Source organism: Homo sapiens, chromosome 12, assembly GCF_000001405.40.
Source record: "Homo sapiens chromosome 12, GRCh38.p14 Primary Assembly".
Lineage (NCBI taxonomy): Eukaryota > Metazoa > Chordata > Mammalia > Primates > Hominidae > Homo > Homo sapiens.
The window spans coordinates 122,893,022-122,911,390 of NC_000012.12; the positions used below are offsets into that span (position 1 = coordinate 122,893,022).

General features: G+C 46.6%; 1 protein-coding gene across 3 annotated transcripts in view, besides 4 other annotated features; it reads right to left on the reverse strand.

Annotated features, from left to right (window-relative positions):
- Nucleotides 1-3,103, reverse strand: part of VPS37B (VPS37B subunit of ESCRT-I) — a 30,795-nt gene extending 27,692 nt beyond the window's left edge. For all 3 annotated transcript variants that reach the window (NM_024667.3, XM_011538743.3, XM_017019971.2), the window contains exon 1: nucleotides 2,931-3,103. In NM_024667.3, coding sequence (NP_078943.1) covers nucleotides 2,931-3,041 — 111 coding nt within the window. In that variant the 5' untranslated portion in view covers nucleotides 3,042-3,103. The remainder of the gene's footprint in view (nucleotides 1-2,930) is intronic.
- Nucleotides 2,767-2,916: an enhancer, noted in NCBI's record as "active region_7244". NCBI's record gives its function as "activates an Ori minimal core promoter by ATAC-STARR-seq in GM12878 lymphoblastoid cells {active_cell/tissue: GM12878}" and the evidence as "EXISTENCE:reporter gene assay evidence [ECO:0000049][PMID:35858748]".
- Nucleotides 3,097-3,246: a silencer, noted in NCBI's record as "silent region_5024". NCBI's record gives its function as "represses an Ori minimal core promoter by ATAC-STARR-seq in GM12878 lymphoblastoid cells {active_cell/tissue: GM12878}" and the evidence as "EXISTENCE:reporter gene assay evidence [ECO:0000049][PMID:35858748]".
- Nucleotides 16,714-17,214: an enhancer, noted in NCBI's record as "OCT4-NANOG-H3K4me1 hESC enhancer chr12:123394282-123394782 (GRCh37/hg19 assembly coordinates)". NCBI's record gives its function as "activates a minimal SCP1, AML or CMV promoter by ChIP-STARR-seq in naive H9 embryonic stem cells {active_cell/tissue: H9 hESC(naive)}" and the evidence as "EXISTENCE:reporter gene assay evidence [ECO:0000049][PMID:30033119]".
- Nucleotides 17,215-17,715: an enhancer, noted in NCBI's record as "OCT4-NANOG-H3K4me1 hESC enhancer chr12:123394783-123395283 (GRCh37/hg19 assembly coordinates)". NCBI's record gives its function as "activates a minimal SCP1, AML or CMV promoter by ChIP-STARR-seq in naive H9 embryonic stem cells {active_cell/tissue: H9 hESC(naive)}" and the evidence as "EXISTENCE:reporter gene assay evidence [ECO:0000049][PMID:30033119]".

Below are 18,369 nucleotides of genomic sequence, written 5' to 3' on the forward strand. Positions count from 1 at the left end.
CTGCACTCCAGCTGGGCAACAGAGCAAGATCCTTTCTCAAAAAAAAAAAAAAAGGAAAAGGTAAATGTTTTTTAGGCTAATTGCAAATCATAATTTACTCAACATTCTTGAAATGGGATCCTAGTAACTTTCAGGATGATCTGGTATTAATGATTGTCAGTCATCTTTCAAAAAGAGAACTATTAATATAAGTGATTAATTATTGCAATTACTTTTTATTGAGCCCTACTGATGGGCTGTGTTAAGTACTAATAGGCATCATCTCACCTGATCCTCACTCTATGAAATAGGTATTACTGTCATATTATCCTTTTCCAACAGATACTCAGGCAGGTGAAGTGACTTGCCTGCAATCACACAGCTGGGAAGCGGCCAAGTCCAGTCTGGAGTGTGTGATTCCAAAACCAGAATGTTCTTTAACACGCCATCACAAATGTTCCATTTGGTCAACAGTTCATAAAATATTTTCTTCTATTGTGTCTCACAATTACCCCCAACATAAGCCAATGCATAGCATTACCAGATGAGTGAAACTACCATGACCAAAAATTTCGGTTCACATTACACCCATTCCGAGAAAGGCACACCACACATGACCAGGACGACAGGATTGACAGTGATCCTCGCTAGGTGAGCTAAGGTATTTTGGTTTTCAAGTTGTTTCCTTGTTTTAAAAGCACTACACCCAGAAAAGCAAACTACTGCTGAGTAATTTAATGTGAACTATGCAGGCTTATCAAGTGGAGTCGCTCAGGCCTCAATACTTCTCTTGGGTATTCAGGTATGAAGGTCACTTTTACTCAAAAAAAAAAAAAAAAAAAAAAAATCCTGCCAGATGAATTTACCTTTCTCTTTAAAAAATAATCTTCAGGTTCTGAGGTAGAGGAAACAGGTGAGGTTGTCCCTAACAGCCTCCAAGTGAACAGAATGAACTTGATTCTTTCCACAAGCTTCCCTCCACTAAAGGCAGTTTATTTCTATTAATGTTCCACCAACAAAGCTACAGTACTCAGTTCTTACTGCAACAGAATAGTCACATATACCAAAATAACTTGTAGGCAGTGTTACACATTAGAAAAATATACCTATCATTTTATTATTAAACCAGAAAAACCCTGCTGACAATCAACAAAAGGTCTCCCAGCAACTGAAAAGCAGAGAAACTAAGCAAAGATTTTTTCTTTGGAGACATGAAACTCATTCAGCTAAGAAGGATGGATTTTATCACTTATTATTCTCCAAAATGGAAGGTGCCACATGGAGACCATAAACGGGGTACACTGCATCTTGGAGCAACGTTATTATGTGTCAAGTTACAAAGCCCATGAATACAAGGGGTGTATTAATGGAAAGACTGATACCATCTTACTACAGTGGCCTCTCTGTAGCTCCGGACAATGATCTGTTGAGGGTTTTCCAGGGATTTTGAATGTGCAACCTCCATACAAGCTCTCTTTTAAGGGGGCTGGCTTGGTGCTGAACAATCCCTCTTCGGAAAGAAAGCCAAAAGCCCCCACACGGGCTCCTGGGTGAGAGGCTCAGCACTGTAGGCGTGGGAAGGCTCAGACTTCAGAGACATAAAGGAGTGGTAGGTGGGCCAGGAAGAGCTGGGATTAGCCTGGGCCCACCTGCCTGGAGGAGAACCAGACCCAAAAGATCAGACTTTCCGAGAATGAGTCCAAATGGGTTGAGAGAAAGGGAGCACACACTGCAAATCTGCAAGGATGAAGTCAGTTACCCGAGAGCAAACCACACCTCAAGGTGTGAAGGAAGATAACCAGAAACAGGAGCTGGCACATGCCTTCCAGGGGCTGGGCAAGGCTTGACTCTCAGAGGTGAGGGTTGGCAGCCAGCCCCAAACCCCCATTTTAACTTCTTCCTGAAACTGCTCCAGGAACCTTCCTTAGTCCCAGACACGTGGGACGCAGTGGTACAAAGCCAGCCACACTAAATTTCCCACCTTCCCTTCCTCGGTGGAGGGGGCAACCCTTACAGAAAAACGTATCCTGTCGCCACCCTTAGGCCCATCCACGAACTCCCGTAACTCTGCTGGGGCCACTTCAAAAGAAGTCAGACTCCAGGGGCATTATTGGGACCCCTTAGATACATGGAACCTTCAAACCTTACCCTGGCTATGGTATGACCATGGACTCCTGCCTCCAAACCCTGGGCTGGGGACCCTCGCCCAACCCTTAAAGAGCCTCAGAACCACCTCATAGACTCAGCTACAGACCCTCAGCCTCCCGAACCCATCTTGGAACCCTCAATCCTCTCCTAAGAGTCCTATTTGGATAGTCCACTCAGTCCCCCAAAACCTACTCTGATCCCCTATAGCTGCCTCAGTCCCCCTGGTTGTCCCCAACCTTTCCTCTCAAAGGAAACCCCCCAACCTCTACCAGATCTAGCTCTTGGTCCCCCTCAGTCACCCCTAATCCTCGCCTCCGACTCAGCCCTTATTACTCTCCCCGCTCCTCCGACCAAACCAATCTCAGATCCCCCCAGTTCCGTCCTCTTCCGCCTAGACCCAACGATAGCACTCTAATCCCCAAATTCCCATTCCAGGCTCCCTAATCTCCACTTCAGACCCAGCCTTAAGTCTTCAGACCCAGCCTTAAGTCCTCAGCCCCACAAAACCTTGTCTCAGGACCCCCAATCGGCTCCCCAAGCCCCGTCTCAGGACCCTTTTTCCCGCCTCCGCCCTAGTCTCGGTCCCCTCAGTGCCTCAAACCCCCTCTCAGGCCCCCTATTCCTGCCTAAGCACCAGTCGCGGTTCCCTGGCTCCCGCACCCCGCCCCAAGCGCCCCCATTTCTAGCCCAGTCCCCTCAACACGACCGGAGGCGCCGCGGTCGCCTCCGCCTCCGGCCACCGTTCGAGGAGCGAACCCCGCTCGAGGCCTCACAGCCGCCGCCTTAAGCCCAGCTCGGCTCACCTCCTCCATCTTCTGCACCATCTCCGTCAGCTGGCCCTCGTCCTCCAGCAGCTCGTTGAGCTGCACCAGCGACAGCCCGGCGAACCGGGCTTCGCTCCCGGCGCCCGCCATCCCCACGTCTCGGCCGTCGTCGCCACCGCCGCTGCGGCCACCAGGCTCCGCCGACCGGAAGCGCCGCCCTCAAGGGCCGCCCCCCGCGGGGGGGACACGTGACGCCAGCCCTGGGTCGTGACGTCATCACCGCGCGGGCGGGCGGACGTGACGTAAGTGTCGCGGCTCGCTTGGAGTGGAATGTGTCAGGGACAGTCGGGACTTCTAAAGGGAGGGGAAGGGCCCTATGATTGGGCTGTGACGCGTGAGCGCATTAATGACGTCACTGCGGCTCGGGAGAGCGCGCCATGAGGTCATAAGAGCCTTTTTCCTCCAGGAAGAGAGATACCGCGATCCAAGGAAAACAGGCAGTGGGAAGGAAGTTCCCGCAGCCTGTGAGCCCAGCCCGATGCACGGAACCCAAAAGACAGAGACTTCATGGGGAAACAACTTTAGGTGTCATTGGTTACTTGGAATTGTGGAGCTGCCACGTCATTCATTTAACAAATATGTTTTGAGACCTACTCTGTACTGGGCATTGAGTATACAGTTCTGAATAAAGCAAAACGGACCCCTGCTTACATGGAGCTAACAGAATGAAAGAGGACGCAAACAAAACAAGAAATAAGTAAAATAATTAGGCGATCACAAATAAGGGAATGGACACTGAAATAAGAAAATAAAAAGACCTTTAGGGTAGTAAGAGATGGCACTTTCGGAGAAGGTGGCGTCTAAGGAAATGTGAAGGATGAGAAGGGAGGAACCAGCCACCATTCCTGTAGGAAGCTCAAGGCAGCAAAACCAGCACGTGCAAAGGCCCTGGGACAGGACTAACTTGGTGCATTCAGGAATGGGAAGAAGGCCAGTAAGGCTGGAGCATTTTGAGCAAGGACCCATTGAGTGGCCCCTTTGCATCACCTCAGAGGAAGGTGCCCAGACATCCAGGTGGGCCAACCTGTGCTCTTTCAGAAACAACACGATTTAGGGTGCAGTCGCTCTCAGTCTCTCAGCTACCGGGAAGCCTCTTAAGATCCAGGAGCCTGGGAACTCATTATCCTACTTTGGAATCTGTCACAGTTCTAGTTAGAAGAAACCTAAGGCTGAGGTTAACCATGACAGCCCCCTAATTTTACACATAAGGGAACTGAAGCCCTGAGAAGGGGAAATTTTTTGGGCTTTTGCTTTGTTTCTGAAAATCAAGTAATTGGCAGGTCTCCTGGCTCCCAGTCTGGCGTCCACCACGCTGGCATCATAACACACTGACCTCGTCTCATAACTCAGCTCTGAACACAGTCGAGGCATTCAGCAAATGCTTATCGGCAGACTTAGGGGCTTTGTGTATAAAGCTGATTCTTCTGCAACTCCATGGGTAAAACATAAGGTCTGTGTTCTCCATCCATACGTTAGGCTGGGCTCTGCCAACCTCTTCTCTCCTTCCAGCCCGTTGTACTAAGGGCTCGTGTTTGCAGAAAAATGATGAAAGTTAGAGGAACTATTGCTTTTTTTATTTTTTGAGACAGAGTCTTGCTCTGTCGTCCAGGCTGGAGTGCAGTGGTGCGATCTCAGCTCACCTCAATCTCCGCCTCCTGGGTTCAAGCGATTCTCCTGCCTCAGCCTTCCAAGTAGCTGGGACTACAGGCATGCGCCATCACGCCAAGCTAATTTTTGTGTTTTTAGTCGAAATGGGGTTTCACCATGTTGGCCAGGTTGGTCTCGAACTCCTGACCTCAAGTGATCCGCCCACCTCAGCCTCCCAAAGTGCTGGGATTGCAGACCTGAGCCACCCCGCCCGGCCAAAAGAAATGTTTCATATAATCCGTAAGCTAAAGGTTTTTTTTTGTTTGTTTTGTTTTGTTTTTTTTTTTTTTTGAGACGGAACCTTGCTCTGTCGCCCAGGCTGGAGTGCAGTGGTGTAATCTCAGCTCACTGCAAGCTCTGCCTCCCAGGTTCACGCTATTCTCCTGCCTCAGCCTCCCGAGTAGCTGGGACTACAGGCACTCGCCACCCCACCCAGCTAATTTTTTGTATTTTTAGTAGTGACGGGGTTTCACCGTGTTAGCCAGGATGGTCTTGATCTTCTGACCTCGTGATCCGCCCACCTTGGCCTCCCAAAGTGCTGGGATTACAGGCATGAGCCACCGTACCCGGCCAAGCTAAAGGTTTTATTGAGCTCAAAAGGACACTCGGTAATTTTCTTCCTTCTAACTTGTTATACTTGGTGAAGAAAGATGGCTCTAAGGAGGAAAGGACACAAGTGGGAAGGAGATGTAGGAAGCTGGCGTTTCTTTTTTCCTTCTCCCTCCAGGAGAAGAATAGACCTGTCAAATTGAGAATAGTAGCTCTATTTCCAGGAAATCCTCTCTATGAGGCTTAAGATGTCCAGGAATTTCTCATAGTCCCCACAGAAGGTGAGAATAAGGTAGGGGTCAGAGCTCTCCAGAATCTAGAGGGATGATGTGATTTAACCAAGAACATACCCCAGGAACAAAACTGGCTTCAGAATGGCATACCTATATACAGTGACCTCTAAACGTACTAAGTTTAAACACGGCTCACTTGCCACCCTTGCCCAGTCCTTTTATAACTATTCTCATACTTGCTATCTGCCACCAACCTATTGGAGTCATACACCACTTCCTTTGTTAAACAGAGCAAACCACAAAATCATCTTGTTTTCTGCTGCTCTAAAAACTTCTTGTCATTCTTAAAGGGGATTGAGAGAAGAAAAGAAAATGTCAAAGCTTCCTTGCATCAGTGTCAAACCTGTCAATTTAATGCATGGATGGATTTGCATGTCTTTTTCCTTTTATCGGTTGGCTGATATTTGGGTTTCTTTATGCACCTACATCTGCTTGTAATGCTTGTGGGTTAACTAAGAGTTTGCTCTGGTGAATCAAGGGCAATGTATGCATGTGCCAGAGCTTCACTCTCAATGGGAGCATTGTTGCCGTCTGAGCAATGAGTCTCCTGTTACACAATATTGGGAATTGTTTGGCAAGCATACTTAAAACACACACACACACACACACACACACACACACACACACACACACAACCTTTGCATAGTTGAACCTAAAAATCTTCTAGCCTTGGGATTAGAATTCTTTCTCTCCCATTGGTAGATTTATCCAGAAATAATTTCCAGTTTGAGACGCTGGGAAAAAATGTATTAATAAGAAGGTGTCCATAGCATAGCACACATAGCTACAAAACTATGTGTGCGCACTAGAGGAATTATTCCCCCAGGTGTCAGGTGGAACAGCCATGCTTCTCTGGGGACTCACAGCCTGATGTCACCACCATGTCACTGTCATGTACTAATACCTACATGTCCAAAATGACCTACATACTAGTCATCCAGAAAAAAGAAATCGTTTTAGATACAGTCTCTGCTTTGGAGAGCAAGAGAAGATATACAAATATAGAATAGTATTTTTAAAATTATATTTAGGGTTGATGTTATTTTGGTGTGTTATAAAGGTAGGGGGCCAGGCCTGGTGTCTCACACCTGTAATCCCAGCACTTTGGTAGGCCAAGGCGGGTGGATCGCTTGAGGTCAGGAGTTCGAGACCAGCCTGGCCAACGTAATGAAACCCCATCTCTACCGAAAATACAAGAATTAGCCAGGTGTGGTGGCATATGCCTGTAGTCCCAGCTACTTGGGAGGCTGAGGCAGGAGAGTCACTTCAGCCTGGAAGACGGAGGTCTATAGAATGGTCATAGGAGGGGAGGGTGAATAAATGACATTATGAGAACTTAAATGTCCAACACTATGGGAATGGTTAAGTAAATTGTAGTAAATCTGATCAATGGTATATTTTCAGCCATTAAAATAAGATACGCAAAGACTATGAAGCTACGTGGAAAAAGCAACATGAGTTAAGGTACAAAGGCAAAATATAAATGTAGGCTGGGCATGGTGGCTCACACCTGTAATTCCAGCACTTTGGAAGCCTGGGGTGGGAGGATCCCTTGAGTACAGGAGTTCAAGGCCATCCTGGGCATCAGAGGGAGACTCTGTCTCTACAAATATAAAATTAAAAAAAAATAGCCCGGCACGGTGACGCATGCCTGTGGTCCCAGCTACTTGGGAGGCTGAGGTGGGAGGATTGGTGAGGCCCAGGAGGTTGAGGCGGCAGTGAGCTGTGGTCGCACCACTGCACTCCAGCCTGGGCAAGAGATTAAGACCCTGTCTCTTTCTCTGTCTCTCTCTCTCATTCTCTGTATGTGTGTGTGTCTGTGTATATATATCACATGTATAATGTGTATACAGACTGATTATAATGAACAAGCTATATTTCTATAGGACAAAGACTCGAGGGTAACAAAGTATTTAAGTTGTTAGTGGAGAAGTTAGTGATTTTTTTTTTAAGGTTACAACAATGCTTGTGGATTGAAGTTTTTTTTGGTTTTGTTTTTGTTTTTTTGAGACAGAGTTTCGCTCTGCCGCCCAGGCTGGAGTTCAGTGGCATGATCTCAGCTCACTGCAACCTCCGCCTCCCAGGATCAAGTGATTCTCATGCCTCAGCCTCCTGAGTAGCTGGGATTACAGGCACATGCCACCACACCCAGCTAGTTTTTATATTTTTAGTAGAGACGGGGTTTCAACATGTTGGCCAGGCTGGTCTCGAACTCCTGATCTCAGGTGATCCACCCACCTTGGCCTCCCAAAGTGCTGAGATTACAGGAGTGAGCCACTACACCCGGCCAAGGATTTTTGTATTTTTTTTTTTAACTAAAAGGAAGAAAACGAATATAACTAATGTAAATGTAGCTGCTCACAACCTCAAGAAAAACAAAAAAGAGTTTATTAAATATCACTGGCAAAACCAAAATGGTCACCAACAAAAATAATAAAATCCTGCAAACCCAAACTTACGTGCTGCACCAACCCACAATAAATAAAAATGTATTGGGTGATATGCCATGAAACAGAGCAGGGCAGATTTTCACAGCCTGATTTTCACTAAACTCCCTGCTGGAGTGTTACTGAAAATTCACTTTTCTTACTATTTACTTAAAGGAAGATGGGGGTCTTAATCTTGCTCTTTTTTTTTATCTCTCAACAAAAATGCTTCTGTTTTGCATCATTATTTCATATTTAAAAAGAGGTGATAAAGCTATTTTTACCTCTTGTGTTGATCAACCCAGCCAGGGAGAACAACTGCAAGACCACTTAACTTTTTTTTTTTTTTTTGAGACGGAGTCTCACTGTCGCCCAGGCTGGAGTGAGTGGCACAATCTTGGCTCACTGCAGGCTCCGCCCCCTGGGGTTCACACCATTCTCCTGCCTCAGCCTCCCGAGTAGCTGGGACTACAGGCGCCCGCCACCTCGCTCGGCTAATTTTTTGTATTTTAAGTAGAGATGGGGTTTCACTGTGTTAGCCAGGATGGTCTCGATCTCCTGACCTCGTGATCCGCCCGCCTCGGCCTCCCAAAGTGCTGGGATTACAGGCGTGAGCCACCGCGCCTGGCAAGACCACTTAGCTTTTGCTTCCCTTATGAATGATTTCTCTGGTCACCCCTAGAGAGGACCCCAACTGTTTTCAAGTCCCAGAACCTTGCTTTCCTCATTAAAATAGCCTTCAGAAAGTGGCCCTGCAGCATTTTTTGCCTGATTTGCCTTGACACCGCAGATAAACCACAGAGGCAACAGCCTGTTCTCTGCTTATATGCATTGCGATAAGCCTGACAGTTTCAAGAAGATTAGGTTCATCCACTAAGAAATTAACTCAGCTCTAACATTCACCTCGAACCCTGACAATGTTGAAAAACCTTACGTCTAAGTGGTTATAACACTTGAGTTGGTTTACACATAGGTAAAAGTACAAAGACAGGATTTCCAGGCATTGGGTTTGCAAATTCTCTAGAGAGAAACTAGAAACTGAAACCCTCTCAAGGTGGTTTTTTGTTTTGTTTTGTTTTGTTTTTTTTTAGGAAACCTTTATAGGTTTTTGTTTGCTTGCTTCTTTAGTTACAAAAGTAATTTGCACCTTGAATTTCTTAACTGAGTCATGGGCTTATATTATTATCTATTCCTTTTGATAAATTTGAACTATTTATAATAAAATATACAAATTAACATCCAAATACTTAAAAATAACGTTTGTTTACTGTAAAAACTGTCTAAACTGTGAGAAGTGTGTAAGCTGAAAAGTTAACAACAAACCCTATTGAACCCATGTCCCAGAGGTAGCCACAGTGATCAGTTTTGTTTCGGTTCTAGAATTTTTAAAAAGATAAACATGTACGGGCTGGGCGTGGTGGCTCACGCCTGTAATCCCAGCACTTTGGGAGGCCGAGGCGGGTGGATCATGAGGTCAGGAGATCGAGAACAGCCTGGCTAACATGGTGAAATCCTGTCTCTACTAAAAATACAAAAATTAGCCGGGCGTGGTGATGCATGCCTGTAATTCCAGCACTTGGGAGACTAGATGGGAGGATCACCTGAGCCCAGGAAGTCGAGGCTGCAGTGAGCAGTGATCGTGCCACTGTACTCCAGCCTGGGCAACAAAGGGAGACCCTGTCTCGAAAAAAAAAAAATTACCTGGGTATGGTGGCACATGCCTGTAGTCCCAGCTACTTAGGAGGCTGAGTCAGGAGGATTGCTTGAGCCCAGGATTTGGAGGCTGCAGTGAGATATGATCGTGCCACTGCTCTCCAGCCTGGGTGACAGAGCGAGACCCTGTCTCAAAAATAATAATAAAATGGCATAAAATAAAATTCAAATAGTAGATAAGGGGGTCAAACAAAAACCATTAACAACTTGTGTTTCCTTCCAGAAGTTTTTTCAGTGCTTATTCAAGCAACTATATTCATATCCACCCTCCTACCCACTTACTTTTTTTTTTTAAAGCAAGAGAGATCACACTCTACTTATATGGAACGTGTCACTTTGCAATCATATAGCTAAGGACAAATCAATATAACTCCTTAGCGACATTAGCTGACCCATAGCTGGTTCCAAAAACTCTTGAAACCTATTCAACAGGTGTTGCCTGAATTTACCTTTCCCCTAGTAGTGCTGAAAATAACGTTGGTGTTTTTTTTTTTTTTTCCTTTGAATTCCATGCAGGGTGTTTTCTTCTTTTTTTTTCAAGTGAAGATTCTTCTCAGCAGAAGGTGTTAATCCAGGCACTAAATCTGGAACATTCTAATCACTGTGAAATTTTGCATGTCTCGTCTTAGGCAGAAAATGTGTGAAGATACCAGTTTATTCTGCTCTTACCTTGCGGTCCTTCTCGAGGTGATTCTGCATATGCTAATGATCTTATGTCAGCTCCCACCTCAGTCACCCCCACCTCTTCACCTCCTGGACCTGTTGCCCTCAACGTCAGTGCTACAGAAACCCACCTAGTTTACGCTCTTCTTTCAAGAGGGGGGTGCCTTATCTGATGCACTCGAAATCTACTCCCTCCTCCCAAGCCTTTCTATTTATATAACTGCATAATGTTTAACTGTACAGGGAAGCTATGAATCCTGTATTCATTTCCTATGCTGTGACAAACAACCACTAACTTAGTGGCTTAAGCAACACTCATTTCTTCTCTTACAGTTCTGCAGGTCAGAAGTCCAAAATCACGAAGTCCTAAAGTCAAGATGTTGGCAGCCCTGGTTCTTTCTGGAAACTCAGAGGGGAGAATCAGCTCCCTTGCTTTTCTCCCAGCTTCTAGGGGCCTCGGTCAATCTCTGCCTGTTTTCAGATTGCCTCCTCTGACCCTGACGCTCCTGCCTCCCTCTTAGGAAGCCTTTTGTGATGACATTGGACTCACCTGGATAGCCCAGGCGCCACTCCCCACCGCAAGGCCCTTCGCTTAATCAGACCTGCAAAGACCTTGTACCACACAAAACAACGCTGGCAGGGCATGAGGATGTGGGTGTAATTGGGGAATTATTATTTAGTCTTCCACGCCATCATCCTTTACAAATAAATAAATTAGGACAAAGAAACTAAGTTCTCCTTGGCCACCAACTGTTCATCCTTTCTCCCCATGGGCGACCACTGTTAACACTCCTTGGTGTGAATTTTTCCAGACCATTTTTATTCTTTAACATATATACATATGAATGCACAACAGATTTATTTAGTGTTGTTTTGGGTAGTATTTTTGTTAAAAAATATGGCATCCTATTCTGCAACATGCTTCTGTCTCTGTTTTGAAATCCATCTCTATTAATACACGTAAAACTAGTTCAGCTACCACTTTTAAAAAATTACTTCTTATTGTGGTACAATATACATAAAGTTTATCATTCTAACCGTTATTATTTATTTATTTATTTTTGAGACAGAGTCTTGTCTGTCACCCAGGCTGGAGTGCAGTGGCAGATCTTGGGTCACTGCAACCTCCACCTCTTGGGTTCAAGCAATTCTCCTGCCTCAGCCTCCTGAGTAGCTGGGATTACAGGTATGCACCACCATACCCAGCTAATTTTTGTATTTTTAGTAGAGACAGGTTTCGCCATGTTGGCCAGGCTGGTCTCAAACTCCTGACCTCAAGTGATCTGCCCTCCTCAGCCTCCCAAAGTGCTGGTATTACAGGCGTGAGCCACCGCACCTGGCCCCTGCTCCTGTGTGTGTGTGTGTGTGTGTGTGTGTGTGTGTGTGTGTGTTTGTTTTGTTTTTGTTTTTTTGTTTTTTTGAGATGGAGTTTTCGCTCTCGTTGCCCAGGCTAGAGTGTAGTGTGACTCGATCTCGGCTCACTGCAACTTCCACCTCCCAGGTTCAAGCGATTCTCCTGCCTCTGCCTCCCAAGTAGCTGGGATTACAGGCATGTGCCACCACACCCAGCTATTTTTTTTTTTTTTTTTTTAACTAGAGACAGAGTCTTGCTCTGTCACTCAGGCTGGAGTGCAGTGGCGCAATCTCGGCTTACTGCAACCTCCGCCTCCTGGGTTTAAGCAATTCTCCTGCCTCATCCTCCCGAGTAACTAGGACTACAGGCACACTCTGCCATGCCCGGCTAATTTCTTTTGTATTTTAGTAGAGACAGGGTTTTCACTGTGTTGCCCAGGCTGGTCTTGAACTCCTGAGCTCCAGCAGTCTGCCCTCCTCAGCCTCCCAAAGTGCTAGGATTACAGGTGTGAGCCACTGCACCAGGCCTAATTTTGTATTTTTAGTAGAGACAGGGTTTCACCATGTTGGCCAGGCTTGTCTCAAACTCCTGACCTCAGGTGATCCACCCACCTTGGCCTCCCAAAGTGCTGGGATCACAGGCATGAGCAACCATGCCCAGCCTCTGCTGTATTTTTAAAGTGCCCATGAGGGACCGGGCATGGTGGCTCAGGTTTGGGAGGCCTAGGCGGGCAGATCACAAGGTCAGGAGTTCAAGACCAGCCTGGCCAACACAGTGAAACTTCGTCTATACTAAAAATACAAAAATTATGCCATGGAATACTATGCAGCCATAAAAAAGGATGAGTTCATGTCCTTTACAGGGACATGGATGAAGCTGGAAACCATCATTCTCAGCAAACTAACACAAGAACAGAAAACCAAACACCGCATGTTCTCACTCATAAATGGGAGTTGAACAATGAGAACACATGGACACCAAGAGGGGAACATCACACACCAGGGCCTGTCAGGGGGTTGGGGGCTAAGGGAGGGATAGCGTTAGGAGAAATATCTAATGTAGATGATGGGTTGATGGGTGCAGCAAACCACCATGACACGTGTATACCTATGTAACAAACCTGCACGTTCTGCACATGTACCCCAGAACTTAAAGTATAATATAAAATATATATATACAAAAATTAGCCAGGCATGGTGGCAGATGCCTGTAATCCCAGTTACTTGGGAGGCTGAGGCAGGAGAATCGCTTGAACCGGGGAGGCAGAGGTTGCAGTGAGCCAAGTTCATGCCACTGCATTCCAGCCTGAGCGACAAAGGTAGACTCTGTCTCAAAAAATAAATAAATAAATAAAATAAAGTGCCCACAAGGACTTGTGCAAATCCTCTAACATGCCTGCCTCAATTTCCTTATCTATAAAATGGGGATTAATAATATGTATGTCTACAGTGTTTCAAGGATCACATAAAGTGATACAGCATTTTTCACCATTAAAGAATACATACTTGGGACCGGGCGCGGTGGCTCATGCCTGTAATCCCAGCACTTTGGGAGGCTGAGGCAGGCGGATCACAAGGTCAGGAGATCGAGACCATCCTGGCTAGCACGATGAAACCCCGTCTCTACTAAAAATATAAAAATTAGCCGGGCGTGGTGGCGGGTGCCTGTAGTCCCAGCTACTCGGGAGGCTGAGGCAGGAGAATGTCGTGAACCCGGGAGGCGGAGCTTGCAGGGAGCCGAGATTGAGCCATAGCACTCCAGCCTGGGCGACACGGCGAGACTCTATCTCAAAAAAAAAAAAAAAAAAAAAAAAAAAAGAATACATACTCAGCCAGCCGTGGTGGCTCACGCCTGTAATCCCAGCACTTTGGGAGGCCTAGGTGGGTGGATCATGAGATCAGGAGATTGAGACCATCCTGGCTAACATGGTGAAACCCTGTCTCTACTAAAAATACAAAAAATTAGCCGGGCGTGGTGGCGGGTGCCTGTAGTCCCAGCTACTCGGGAGGCTGAGGCAGGAGAATGGTGTGAACCCAGGAGGCAGAGCTTGCAGTGAGCCGAGATCATGCCACTGCACTCCAGCCTGGGCAACAGAGCAAGACTCCATCCTAAAAAAAAAAAAAAAAATACATACCCTGAGAAATACTATGTCAGCTCCATATCATCATTTAAGCCTCCCTCTTTCAAAAAATCTCACCTGCATGCTTTCATTTATTCATCATTTCATACATTTATTGAGCATCTACTATAACCTACTCACTGTTCTAAACACTGAGAATACAGCAGTGAACCAAACAAGCAACACCTTCACCCCCATGAAGTTTACATTCCAATAAGGAGAAAACAGATGCCAATCACATAAACTAGTTATGTAACTAGGATAATTTCAGGTAATAACACAACCAGATCATATACAGCCTTTTTTATTATAGTGACACAAGTGGATTTTATTATGAGAACAGTAGGAAACAATGGAGAGGGGTTTTCTGGGGTTTTGTTTGTTTTGTTTTTTGGGACGGAGTCTCACTCTGTGGCCCAGGCTGGAGTGCAATGGCACAACCTCAGGTCACTGCAACCTCCGCCTCCTGGGTTCAAGCGATTCTCCTGCCTCAGTCTCTTGAGTAGCTGGGATTACAGGTGCCCACCACCATGCCCGGCTAATTTTTGTATTTTTAGTAGAGACGGGGTTTCGCCATGTTGGCCAGGTGATCCTCCTGCTTCGGCCTCCCAAGTGCTGGGATTACAGGCGTGAGTCACGGCACCCAGCCAATGGAGAGGTTTTTTTTTTTTTTGTCTTTTTTTGTTTGTTTGTTTGTTTTTGAGACGGAGTCTGGCTCTGTGCCCAGGCTGGAGTACAATGGCGCAATCTTGGCTCACTACAATCTCTGCCTCCTGGGTTCAAGTGATTCTCCTGCCCCAGCCTCCCGAGGAGCTGGGACTACAGGCACGTGCCACCATGCCCAGTTAATTTTTGTGTTTGTGTGTTTGTTTGTTTTGAGACGGAGCCTCACACTGTCGCCCAGGCTGGAGTGCAGTGGCGCAATCTCCACTCACTGCAACCTCCACCTCCTGGGTTCAACTGAGTCTCCTGCCTCAGCCTCCCGAGTAGCTGGGATTAGAGGCATGAGCCACCATGCCCGGCTAATTTTTTGTATTTTTAGTAGAGACAAGGTTTCACCATATTGGCCAGGCTGGTCTCGAACTCCTGACCTCATGATCTGCCTGCCTCGGCCTCCCAAAGTGCTGGGATTATAGGCATGAGCCCCTGCGCCCGGCCTGTATTTTTTTTTTTTTTTTTTTTTTTAAGTAGAGACAGGGTTTCACCATTTTGGCCAGGATGGTTTCAATCTCTTGACCTCATGATCCGCCCGCCTCAGCCTCCCAAAGTGCTGGGATTACAGGCGTGAGCCACTGCGCCCGGCCCAATGAAGAGTTTTAAGCAGGGAAATGACAATTCACAATTTCAGGTCCCTCTGTATCTCAATAAAGCCATTTTTTTTTTTTTTTTTTTTTTTGAGACGGAGTCTCGCTCTGTCGCCCAGGCCGGACTGCGGACTGCAGTGGCGCAATCTCGGCTCACTGCAAGCTCCGCTTCCCGGGTTCACGCCATTCTCCTGCCTCAGCCTCCCCAGTAGCTGGGACTACAGGCGCCCGCCACCGCGCCTGGCTAATTTTTTGTATTTTTAGTAGAGACGGGGTTTCACCGTGTTAGCCAGGATGGTCTCGATCTCCTGACCTCATGATCCACCCGCCTCGGCCTCCCAAAGTGCTGGGACTACAGGCGTGAGCCACCGCGCCCGGCCAAAGCCATTTTTTTTAAAGGCCCCTCTGGCTGTTCATGGGGAAGGGGTCGTGGAAGGCCAGCATTGCTTGTGATAATGGTGCCACTCCCCCGCCATTGAACCATCATGTGCTATCTATCGACATCTGCTTGTTTGTATTCTTTTTTATAAGCTGCCTGAAACCTTTGCCACCTGCATTTGACCTGTCTCTGCCAATTAACTGTAAACTTGAGGGTCAGGAAAACCAGACAGTCTTCTCTACAGAATTTGAGAGCACAATTTGTGTAAATAGGAACTTTTTTTTTTTTCTGAGACAGGGTCTCACACTGTCGCCCAGGCTGGAGTGCAGTGGTGAGATCACAGCTCACTGCAGCCTCATCTTCCTGGGCTGAAGCAACTCTCCCACCTCAGCCTCCCAATTAGCTGAAACCCCAGGAACGTGCCACCACACCTGTCTAATATTTAAAATTTTTTTGTAGAAATGGGGTCTTGTTATGTTGCCCAGGCTTACAAAAGGAACTTGATTCATGGTGGTAGGTGATGATGTACAGTTTTTTTTTCTTTTTTTAGAGACAGGGTCTGGCTGTGTTGCCCAGGCTGGAGAGCAGTGGCACCGTCATAGCTCACTATAAACTCAAGCAATCCTCCTGCCTCGCCTTGGTCTCCCAAAGTGCTGAGATTACAGGTGTGAGTCACTGCGCCTGGCCTGATATGCAGTTTTAACGAGAAGAAACTACCTAGAGCTGGGCATGATGGCTCACAACTGTAATCCCAGCACTTTGGGAGGCCAAGGTAGGCAGATCGCTTAGAGCTGTAAACGCTGAGAATACAGCAGTGAACCAAACAGGCAACACCTTTGCACCCATGAAGTTTATATTCCTCTAAAGAGCAAATAGATGCCAATCAAGTAAACAAGTTATATAACCAAGATAATTTCAGGTAATAAAACCAGATCATATACAGCTGTTTTCCTTATAGTGCCACAATTGGATTTTATTACGAGAATAAAATCCAATTGTTTCAGCCTGGGTAATGTGATGAGACTCCATCTCTACTACAAATACAAAAAAATTTAGCCAGGCATGGTGGCTTGTGCCTGTAATCCCAGCTACTCAGGAGGCTGAGATGGGAGGATCACTTGAGCCTGGGAAGTGGAGTTTGCAGTGAGACAAGATTGCACAACTGCACTCCAGCCTGGATGACAGAGCAAGACCCTGTCTCAAAAAACAAGAAGAAAACGACCTAGTCCAAATAACTTGGGTTGTGGTCATTAAGAGGAGGAGCAAACGACAGTACTTTGCTTCTGGGACCTCAACTTTCCCATCTGAAAAATGGGACTAATTCCTATCTCCACTCCACTACAAAAACAAGGCTTTATATTGACAGAAAAACATGCATATGGAAGATCATGCCGCCTTGGTAAGCCAGGCCTTGGCAGCCAGTTAGTGGTGTGTGGTTGCCCTGAAGCCTGGTTGGGGCTCAACAGATGAAACGAAAACACCAGGCGCCCTTTCTAACCCTCTTCCCTCCTGCCCTCTCAGTTGGAAGGGTGTTTGGATTGTTTTTCTGAATTTGAAATGTTTCCTTTTGTTCCAGGAGAGAAGACCGCTAACCAGGTTGACATATTCCTCTTCCCTGAGGGGCACATTTTGGAAACTGTCTGAGGTCGCAGGCTTGTTGCCACTGAGTAGCTGGGCAACATTCCTCCCCTGGCCTGTCTATTTTAAGCCACGCAGATAACTAGGGAGGCGGGGGCAAGACAACAAAGGCTGAACAGTGGGTGAAGGACATCTGGCAGGAAGGGCTGGCAGCAGGCAGATGGGTTTTCAATGGCATGGATGGGCTCCCACTGTGTAGAGCCTGGGAGGGCGAGGAACGGGCTCTCGGACCATGGCAGCCCCCATGTGAGGGGAAGGGAGGTGGCAGGCACGTTGATCAAGGCATCTCCCCCCACTTATTCATTCATTCATTCAGCAAATATTGGCCTCCTCAAACCTGCAGGTTGTTTTTCGTCGGTTCTGGACCATTCTCAGCCATTAGCGATTCAGAGAGTTCTCATGCCATTCTCTCTTGCCTCTCTGTCTGCAACTCCAAACAAATGTATGACAACATTTCTCAAAGAACCTTCCAACTCTCTTCTTCTCCCTTTGGTATTTTCTTTTTGTCTCTCTGTGTTACATTCTGGATAACTTTTGTTTTTTTTTTTTTTTGAGACAGGGTCTCGTTCTGTCACCCAGGCTGGAGTGCAGTGGTGCCATCTCGGCTCACTGCAACCTTTACCTCCCAGGTTCAAGCGATTCTCCTGCCTCAGCCTCCGAGTAGCTGGGACCACAGGCATACACCACCACGCCTGGCTAATTTTGTTGTTGTTGTTGTTGTTATATTTTAGTAGAGATGGGGTTTCACCGTGTTGGCCAGGCTTGTCTCGAACTCCTGGGCTCAAGTGATCGGCCCTCCTTGGCCTCCCAAAGTGGTGGGATTACAGGCGTGAGCCACTGCCCAGCCATAACTTCTGTTATCTCACTAATTCTTCCACCATGAACAATCTTCTGTCACATACAATAATTGAGATTATTCCTTATTTATTTTTTAAGTTTCTAAAAGTTCTATTTTGTTCTTTTTGGAATATGTTATGGCGAGGCACAGTGACTCACACCTGTAATCCCAGCACTTTGGGAGGCCGAGGAGGGCTGATCGCTTGAGCCCAGGAGTTCGAGACAAGCCTGGCCAACATGGTGAAACCCTGTCTCTACTAAAATACAAAAAAAATTAACCAGGCATGGTGGTGCGTGCCTGTAATCCCAGCTACTCGGGAGGCTGAGGCAGGAGAATCACTTGAACCCAGGAGGCGGAGGTTGCAGTGAGCTGAGATCGAGCCACTGCACTCCAGCCTGGGGAACAGAACTAGACTTTCTCTCAAAAAAAAAAAAAAAGAAATCTGTTATTTTTTATAGCCTTATATTCCTTGTAAATGTTTTCAAGCTTGATGAT